This window comes from Homo sapiens, chromosome 8 (genome assembly GCF_000001405.40).
Source record: "Homo sapiens chromosome 8, GRCh38.p14 Primary Assembly".
Classification (NCBI taxonomy): domain Eukaryota; kingdom Metazoa; phylum Chordata; class Mammalia; order Primates; family Hominidae; genus Homo; species Homo sapiens.
Window position 1 is genome coordinate 56,261,427 of NC_000008.11, and position 10,390 is coordinate 56,271,816.

General features: G+C 38.4%; 1 annotated feature.

Moving 5' to 3' along the window:
• Positions 9,310 to 9,510: a silencer, noted in NCBI's record as "peak7027 fragment used in MPRA reporter construct". NCBI's record gives its function as "represses an SCP1 promoter by STARR-seq MPRAs in K562 erythroleukemia cells {active_cell/tissue: K562}" and the evidence as "EXISTENCE:reporter gene assay evidence [ECO:0000049][PMID:32103011]".

Below are 10,390 nucleotides of genomic sequence, written 5' to 3' on the forward strand. Positions count from 1 at the left end.
AATTTTGGCTTTTGTTGCCATTGCTTTTGATGTTTTAGACATGAAGTCCTTGCCCATGCCTATGTCCTGAATGGTATTGACTAGGTTTTCTTCTAGAGTTTTTATGGTTTTAGGTCTAACATTTAAGTCTTTAATCCATCTTGAATTAATTTTTGTATAAGGTGTAAGGAAGGGATCCAGTTTCAGCTTTCTACATATGGTTAGCCAGTTTTCCCAGCACCATTTATTAAATAGGGAATCCTTTCCCCATTGCTTGTTTTTGTCAGGTTTGTCAAAGATCAGATAGTTGTAGATATGTGACATTATTTCTGAGGGCTCTGTTCTGTTCCATTGGTCTATATCTCTGTTTTGGTACAAGTACCATGCTGTTTTGGTTACTGTAGCCTTATAGTATAGTTTGAAGTCAGGTAGCGTGATGCCTCTGGCTTTGTTCTTTTGGCTTAGGATTGACTTGGCAATGCGGGCTCTTTTTGGTTCCATATGAACTTTAAAGTAGTTTTTTCCAATTCTGTGAAGAAAGTCATTGGTAGCTGGATGGGGATGGCATTGAATCTACAAATTACCTTGGGCAGTATGGCCATTTTCACGACATTGATTCTTCCTACCCATGAGCATGGAATGTTCTTTCCATTGTTTGTATCCTCTTTTATTTCATTGAGCAGTGGTTTGTAGTTTTCCTTGAAGAGGTCCTTCACATCCCTTGTAAGTTGGATTCCTAGGCATTTTATTCTCTTTGAAGCAATTGTGAATGGGAGTTTATTCATGATTTGGCTCTCTGTTTGTCTGTTATTGGTGTATAAGAAAGCTTGTGATTTTTGCACATCGATTTTGTATCCTGAGACTTTGCTGAAGTTGCTTATCAGCTTAATGAGATTTTGGGCTGAGACAATGGGGTTTTCTAAATATACAATCATGTCATCTGCAAACAGGGACAATTTGACTTCCTCTTTTCCTAATTGAATGCCCTTTATTCCCCTCTCCTGCCTGATTGCTGTGGCCAGAGCTTCCAACACTATGTTGAATAGGAGTGGGGAGAGAGGGCATCCCTGTCTTGTGCCAGTTTTTGTCCATTCAGTATGATATTGGCTGTGGGTTTGTCATAGATAGCTCTTATTATTTTGAGATACATCCCATCAATACCTAGTTTATTGAGAGTTTTTAGCGTGAAGTGTTGTTGAATTTTGTCAAAGGCCTTTTCTGCATCTATTGAGATAATCATGTGGTTTTTGTCTTTGGTTCTGTTTATATGCTGGATTACATTTACTGATTTTCGTGTGTTGAACCAGCCTTGCATCCCAGGGATGAAGCCCACTTGATCATGGTGGATAAGCTTTTTGATGTGTTGCTGGATTCGGTTTGCCAGTATTTTATTGAGGATTTTTGCATCAATGTTCATCAAGGATATTGGTCTAAAATTCTCTTTTTTGTTGTGTCTCTACCAGGCTTTGGTATCAGGATGATGCTGGCCTCATAAAATGAGTTAGGGAGGATTCTGTCTTTTTCTATTGATCGGAATAGTTTCAGAAGGAATGGTACCAGCTCCTCCTTGTACCTCTGGTAGAATTTGGCTGTGAATCCATCTGGTCCTGGACTTTTTTTGGTTGGTAAGCTATTAATTATTGCCTCAATTTCAGAGCCTGTTATTGATCTATTCAGAGATTCAACTTCTTCCTGGTTTAGTCTTGGGAGAGTGTATGTGTCGAGGAATTTATCCATTTCTTCTAGATTTTCTAGTTTATTTGCATAGATGTGTCTATAGTATTCTCTGATGGTAGTTTGTATTTCTGTGGGATCAGTGGTGATATCCCCTTTGTCATTTTTTATTGCGTCTATTTGATTCATCTCTCTTTTCTTCTTTATGAGTCTTGCTAGCGGTCTATCAATTTTGTTAATCTTTTCAAAAAACCAGCTCCTGGATTCATTGATTTTTTGAAGGGTTTTTTGTGTCTCTATTTCCTTCAGTTCTGCTCTGATCTTTGTTATTTCTTGCCTTCTGCTAGCTTTTGAATGTGTTTGCTCTTGCTTCTCTAGTTCTTTTAATTGTGATGTTAGGGTGTCAATTTTAGATCTTTCCTCCTTTCTCTTATGCGCATTTAGTGCTATGAATTTCCCTCCACACACTGCTTTGAATGTGTCCCAGAGATTCTGGTATGTTGTGTTTTTGTTCTCATTGGTTTCAAAGAACATCTTTATTTCTGCCTTCATTTCCTTATGAACCCAGTAGTCATTCAGGAGCAGGTTGTTCAATTTCCATGCAGTTGAGCAGTTTTGAGTGAGTTTCTTAATCCTGAGTTCTAGTTTGATTGCACTGTGGTCTGAGAGACAGTTTGTTATAATTTCTGTTCTTTTACATTTGCTGAGGAGTGCTTTACTTCCAATTATGTGGTCAATTTTGGAATAGGTGTCGTGTGGTGCTGAAAAGAATGTATGTTCTGTTGATTTGGGGTGGAGAGTTCTGTAGATGTCTATTAGGTCCGCTTGGTGCAGAGCTGAGTTCAATTCCTGGATATCTTTGTTAACTTTCTGTCTCGTTGGTCTGTCTAATGTTGACAGTGGTGTGTTAAAGTCTCCCATTATTATTGTGTGGGAGTCTAAGTCTCTTTTTATGTCACTAAGGACTTGCTTTATGAATCTGGGTGCTCCTGTATTGGGTGCATATATATTTAGGATAGTTAGTTCTTCTTGTTGAATTGATCCTTTTACCATTATGTAACGGCCTTCTTTGTCTCTTTTGATCTTTGTTAGTTTAAAGTCTGTTTTTTCCGAGACTAGCATTGCAACTCCTGCCTTTTTTTGTTTTCCATTTGCTTGGTAGATCTTCCTCCATCCCTTTATTTTGAGCCTATGTGTGTCTCTGCATGTGAGATGGGTTTCCTGAATACAGCACACTGATGGGTCTTGACTCTTTATCCAATTTTCCAGTGTGTGTGTTTTAATTGGAGCATTTAGCCCATTTACATTTAAGGTTAGTATTGTTATGTGTGAATTTGATCCCATCGTTATGATGTTAGCTGGTTATTTTGCTCGTTAGTTGATGCAGTTTCTTCCTAGCCTTGATGGTCTTTACAATTTGGCATGTTTTTGCTGTGGCTGATACCAGTTGTTCCTTTCCATGTTTAGTGCTTCCTTCCTGAGCTCTTGCAGGGCAGTCCTGTTGGTGACAAAATGTCTCAGCATTTGCTTGTCTGTAAAGTATTTTATTTCTCCTTCACTTATGAAGCTTAGTTTGGCTGGATATGAAATTCTGGGTTGAAAATTCTTTTCTTTTAGAATGTTGAGTATTGGCCCCCACTATCTTCTGGCTTGTAGAGTTTCTGCCGAGAGATCCACTGTTAGTCTGATGGACTTCCCTTTGTGGGTAACCCAACCTTTCTCTCTGGCTGCCCTTAACATTTTTTCCTTCATTTCAACTTTGTTGTATATGACAATTATGTGTCTTGGAGTTGCTCTTCTCAGGGAGTATCTTTGTGGCGTTCTCTGTATTTTCTGAATTTGAATGTTGGCCTGCCTTGCTAGATTGGGGAAATTCTCCTGGAATATATCCACATAGTCCCATATTTCTTGGAGGCTTTGTTCATTTCTTTTTATTCTTTTTTCTCTAAACTTCTCTTCATGCTTCATTTCATTCATTTCACGTTCCATCGCTGATACCCTTTCTTCCAGTTGATCACGTCAGTTACTGAGGCTTGTGCATTCGTCATGTAGTTCTCGTGCCATGGTTTTCAGCTCTATCAGGTCCTTTAAGGACTTCTCTGCATTGATTATTCTAGTTATCCATTCATCTAATTTTTTTTCAAAGTTTTTAACTTCTTTGCCATTGGTTCAAACTTCCTCCTTTAGCTCGGAGTAGTTTGATCTTCTGAAGCCTTCCTCTCTCAACTCGTCAAAGTCATTCTCCGTCCAGCTTTGTTACATTGCTGGTGAGGAGCTGCATTCCTTTGGAGGAGAAGCGGTGCTCTGATTTTTAGAGTTTCTGGTTTTTCTGCTCTGTTTTTTCCCCATCTTTGTGGTTTTATCTACCTTTGGTCTTTGATGATGGTGATGTACAGATGGGATTTTGGTGTGGATGTCCTTTCTGTTTGTTAGTTTTCCTTCTAACAGTCAGGACCCTCAGATGCAGGTCTGTTGGAGTTTACTGGAGGTCCACTTCAGACCCTGTTTTCCTGGGTATCAGCAGCGGTGGCTGCAGAACAGCAGATATTGGTGAACCGCAAATGCTGCTGCCTGATCTTTCCTCTGGAAGTTTTGTCTCAGAAGAGTACCCAGCCGTGTGAGGTGTCAGTCCACCCCTACTGGGGGGTGCCTCCCACTTAGGCTACTTGGGGGTCAGGGAACCACTTGAGGAGGCAGTCTGCCTGTTCTCAGATCTCAAGCTGCATGCTGGGAGAACCACTACTCTCTTCCAAGCTGTCAGACAGGGACATTTAAGTCTGCAGAGGTTATTGCTGTCTTTTGTTTGTCTGTGCCCTGCCCCCAGAGGTGGATCCTACAGAGGCAGGCAGGCCTCCTTGAGCTGTGGTGGGCTCCACCCAGTTCGAGCTTCCTGGCTGCTTTGTTTACCTTCTCAAGCCTGAGCAATGACGGGTGCCCCTCCCCCAGCCTCGCTGCCACCTTGCAGTTTGATCTCAGACTGCTATGCTAGCAATGAGCGAGGCTCCGTGGGCATAGGACCCTCCGAGCCAGGTGCGGAATATAATCTCCTGGCATGCCGTTTGTGAAGCCCATTGGGAAAGCACAGTATTAGCGTGGGAGTGACCCAATTTTCCAGGTGCCATCTGTCACCCCTTTCTTTGACTAGAAAAGGGAATTCCCTGACCCCTTGTGCTTCCCGGGTGAGGCGATGCCTCGCCCTGCTTCAGCTCATGCATGGTGTGCTGCACTCACTTTCCTGCACCCACTGTCCAGCACTCCCCTGTGAGATGAACCTGGTACCTCAGTTGGAAATGCAGAAATCACCCATCTTCTGCATCGCTCATGCTGGGAGCTGTAGACTGGAGCTGTTCCTATTTGGCCATCTTGGCTCCACCCCCAAAACTTTAATTACTCTGTTAGAAATGTCTCCTTATTGCTGGGCCCTCTCTTGGATGGGAGCCTGGGTGGGTGGGTGTGTGGACTTGCTAGGGATTAGGCTGCGGTAGCACAGTCAGTTCCTACCATGGATACACTGTACTCACCTTCTGTAGGAGTGGGTCAACCCCTTCTATTTCTGCTGCTGTTCTCATATTGGCCCAACACACTTTAGGGTGCTACTTGTTGGCTGTTTTGGGTTCCCTTGTCCTTGATCTGTCAGCCATCTGTTGCTTCCCTCCTCTCCCTCTATGGAAGCTGGATACCATGAAGGTCTTGCTGGTTGGTTCTCACTTGTCACCTAATTTTGTTGGAATGTTATCTGTGGGTTCTTGTCTTTGCTATGGAGGCTTTGTCTGGTTTTTTAAATCTCTTGTGGGGATTTGGATATACTGGAATGCCAGGGCTCAACCTCTGCATCTCCCCACGATGCCCTGGTTCTGCCTTTTCTGTGGTTCTTTTTCTCTCTCTCCTGTGACTTCTATTCCTTCTTTTGAAAGGATAGAATATGCTTGATCATTTCTTAGTTTTGTTTATAAGTTATGTACTGCATTTCTACTTTCTTTAAATAACCCTAGCAATGTTAGCATATACAATTATTTATTATTTTAAAATCTACAATCTCCTCTCAAGCAGTACAAGAACCTCAGACCAATTCAAATTTGATCATCTCTACCTGTGATCGTTTTGGATGTGACAATCTTATCTTAACCCTTTAAAACAACACATTTATTATTGTTGTATGTAGCTAGTGTTTGTTTAGATTTATTATTCACATTTTACGACTTTCTTTGCTCATCATTCTTTCTGGGACCTTTTTGCTTATAAGGTTTGCTGGTGGCAATGTTCTCAGTTTCTACTTGACTGAAACTTTTTTTTTAAATTTTCATTTCTGAAAGATACTGTGTTTAAAGGACATTCTTAATAAGATAAAAAGACATTTTGGCTCATTTTATTTCTAAAAAATCTTCTAAAAGATTTTTCTAAGGGAGCTTTAGAAAAGATACTTCTAAGAGGAATTTTTGTTTCCTACAAAGATATTTTGTATAGTTTTATATTGACAGTTAATTTTTCTCATGTTGAAGATCCTATTTCACTCTTTCAGACTACAGTTTTTGCTTTTGAGCGTTCAATTGTCCAGACTAATTGTCATTTCTGTTTAGGTATCTTTTTTCAAGTTATCATGCAGATTACTTTTGTCATTAGTTTTCAGTACATTTACCATGACATGTCTAAGTGTGGATTTATTTTATTTATTGTGCTTGAGATTATTCAAATCTGAATCTGAGGACTGGTGTTCTTTAACCAGTTCATCAATTCTCAAAGATTCTCAGTCATTATCTGCTCAAATATTACATTTCTTCCATTTTCTCCCTTTTCTTCTGCTGAAATTCTCACAGGACATTTATATTGGAACGTGACACTCTGAACTCCATTCCCCTCATTTCTCTTTTGCTTTTCTTTGTGCTACATTAGGAAACACTTCTCTAGTTCTGTTCTGTAATTCATTAAATCTGGATTCTACTAAATTCATTTATTGATATTTCAATTTTTATTATGTTTTAAAAATGTCTAGAAGTTATATTTAGTTATTTCTTAAATAAGCTTGCTTTAAAAAATTACGTTTTAGGAACAGTTCATGTAAGGAACAATTCTTCTTGTTCCTTACAAGAATATTTTCAACCCATTCTTATTTTATATTTTGTATCTGAAAATTCTAAAAGTCACATGTATTTGTGGGTCTCTTTCTTCTGTTTATCTCATTCATAGTGTTTTGTTCCCTCGTGTTTTCATAATTTCTAATTGTGAAGTCCAGCTCCTTGGAAGTTTATCTGTGGGACTTATATGGTGGACTTCTCAGCACTTGAAACTTCGGGTATTTTCAGCTAAATTCTTGGCTTAATATATTTTAAGCTTTCTCATGCTGGATGTATTTGGACAACAAAATCATGTGAAGGTTAGTTTGTAATTTTTCCTTCTTTTCCATAAACCAAGCTTCATAATAGGAAAATATCCTTTCTGTTCTCTGGTGGGGCCAAGGGTGGAAAGAAGGAGCAAGAGTTACTTAAAGGTCACCTTTATCCCGAGAGTGTGTCTTTAAGAGGAGTGTCTCTTATTTGACTCCCCAACTTGGGAAAACCCTAAAGACTTTATACTTGAAAACCCAAACTCTAGTTCTTTGAGTTCAGCAAATGCTGTTGGGGAAAATGCCAACTTATCTCTTCAAATTCCTCTTTCCACTTAGTTTTTGGCCAATTAGGAATCCTCCTTCTTGGTCAGTTTACCTATACATTTTAAAAGATATTTTGAAACAAACTTTGAGCACTTCTAGTGGTTGTTATTGGTTGGCCAAGGCAGGGAAACCAATTTGCCAAGAAAAAAAAAACAAAGTCTCTCATTTTTAAAAAATTCGCTTATATTAAAAATATTAAATAATACAAATGCAGAAAAAGAAAACCTTTTTCTCCAGTCCCCCAAATCCCTCTGTTACTAGTTTGTGCATGTGTGAAGATTTCCAGAGTTAGTCTGTGTGTATAAAAGCATACCTATTCACACCCACCCGCTCTTCCACGAGACAGCCTTTTGTAGGAGAAGTGGTAGCATCCTGTGTGCACCTGTTTTTTTTCATTAATAATACATCTTGAGAATTGCCCATATCAGTGCATACAGACACAAGTCATTATTTTTAAAAAGTGCATATGGTTTCATTTTATGTATGTACTATAATTTCTTTAACTTGCCCTTATTAAAGGTTACTTGTTTATTACCTTTATTTACAATAAATAATCCTATAATAAATTATCTTCTACAATAATTGCTTGAGTATGTAAATATGTCTGTGGGCTAAATTTTTTCTCTAAGGAAATTTTTGGGTCAAATGACTATCACAAATTATTATAACAATTGTTTCTGCCAAATTGTCTCCAATGATATTGAACCAAGTTACACTCCACTAAAAATGTACAGCAGTGCCTTTTCCCTTAGACTTTCATTAACATAGAATAATATAAAATGTTTATATCTCCACTTATCTGATAGGTGAAAGTAGAATCTTATTCAAATTTTGCTTTGCATTTTTCTTATAATGGAGAAAGTTGACCTCTGCCTTATTCTTATAACTCTTTCCTTTGTTGCTTTCAATATATTTTACTACTTCAGTCCTTCCTTTAGGTCTAACTGTTTTTTAATAAACTTTCTCACTAAATTCCTTTCTTCTACTCAGTGTAGAAGTTTAGGCATTTTTCAAAGTTCTGTTCTCTAACCTTGTTCTTTTTCTGTATTTTAAAATTTCTATGATTTTAACAATTGCATCCACCCAGAAAACCCTCAAGTTTATATATTTAATTTCAAATTTCCTACTGATTGTTAAGTAGCCATGCATGGATGTTGTAATAGTAAACACCTCAACTTTGTATTTCTAAAAAACCACTTCTAATATAAATAGTTCTTCTTTTTGATTCTTCTGTTTTCATCAATGGCTCCATCTCTGAGTCACAGAATACCTTGTTTCCCATTCCTATTTAAAAGCTTAAATTGCCAAGGATTATAGGAATTGTGGGCCTGGAACTGGGAACAAAGACCAAATATTATTTATTATTATTTATTATACCACAGTTGCTAAGTGTAATTCTGGGCATTGATTATATACATAATCAATTATATATATAATCAAGTGTCCAATTACCTCAGCCTTCTCTCAACTGTCATGTGCTTGCTATAGACAGCAGCAACATTTGCTCAAGTCATCTTTCCGTTTGGGAAATAGTTGATTGGAAACTGCCTGCATCTCCCTGTGGCTGATTTTATTTATTTTGCATTTGTCTTATTTGGGCCCAAACTTCCTTTCCTAATTCTTTCACAACTAGTGTCAGTTACAGATAAACTTTGGACATGTTATTTGTGTTAAGGGTAGAATATGGCTGCAGGATATTTGAAGATAGGAATTGTGTGGTGTGAACTAGAAAATGACTGTAGATTCTCTATAAGGTACAGAACAAGGGCAAAGTCATTTTTTAGGGTTTCCAGGTGTGATGTACATGGCACATTGATAAAATCGATAAAATTGATAAAATCAAGCTAAGCCAATGGTAATCTATGGAGCCTTCAGTTTCATAAGATTCAGTGTAATCTATATAATTCCAGGCTTACAAAACAGGTCATTCTCTAGGTGAATAATCTCATCCAAGTCTTTTCAAGGTGGAGCTCCACATCTTCTGGTTTGACAGCTCAGCTACTTTCAGGTGAATGGTCTTTACCTAGAATCATACTTAGACAATGTAAATAATATTTGTAATTGCCAGCTATTGCCCAATAACGTTGCACAAGGAACCACCCCAAAGCTCTAGGGATTACAAAGATAAGCATTTGTTTATGTATTCATTTTTTTGCTTACAGGAGAGGCTTTGCTTTAGGGTGTGAGTCAGCCTATTGCCATGCCTCTTAAGACATCTGCTTACATCATTTTCACTGAAGCTCCTCTGTCCAAAGCAAAAGCAAGACACCTTACCTAACCAAGTCCAAGGTCAATGAAGCATGGAATTATACTCTGCCTGAACCTTGAAGAAGAAGGGAATGAATATTTGCTGAATAGGAGTTTAATCCTTCACAGTGCTGAAGCTCAGAGTGGAGAACATTTTCAACAGCACAACTCAGAAGAGTTGTCTTTTATCTGAAACTTGTTCTAACTATAATGAAGATGCCTGAGAAATCCCAAATTGTTTTTTTTTTTTCATTGCTCTTCCCAAAATATCCTTCTTTAATTTTTAATGAGATCAAAAAGCGTTTTGCATTATTAACCAATAAAATCCAAGAGTGTTTTTAAGGTACTGTTTTTCACCTTTAGCTCTCATTGTTTTTTGTTTCTATTTTTGTATGTTTTAGAATGTGTCTTCTTTTTTTTTTTATTGATCATTCTTGGGTGTTTCTCGCAGAGGGGGATTTGGCAGGGTCACAGGACAATAGTGGAGGGAAGGTCAGCAGATAAACAAGTGAACAAAGGTCTCTGGTTTTCCTAGGCAGAGGACCCTGTGGCCTTCTGCAGTGTTTGTGTCCCTGGGTACTTGAGATTAGGGAGTGGTGATGACTCTTAACGAGCATGCTGCCTTCAAGCATCTGTTTAACAAAGCACATCTTGCACCGCCCTTAATCCATTCAACCCTGAGTGGACACAGCACATGTTTCAGAGAGCACAGGGTTGGGGGTAAGGTCACCGATCAACAGGATCCCAAGGCAGAAGAATTTTTCTTAGTACAGAACAAAATGAAAAGTCTCCCATGTCTACTTCTCTCTACACAGACACGGCAACCATCCGATTTCTCAATCT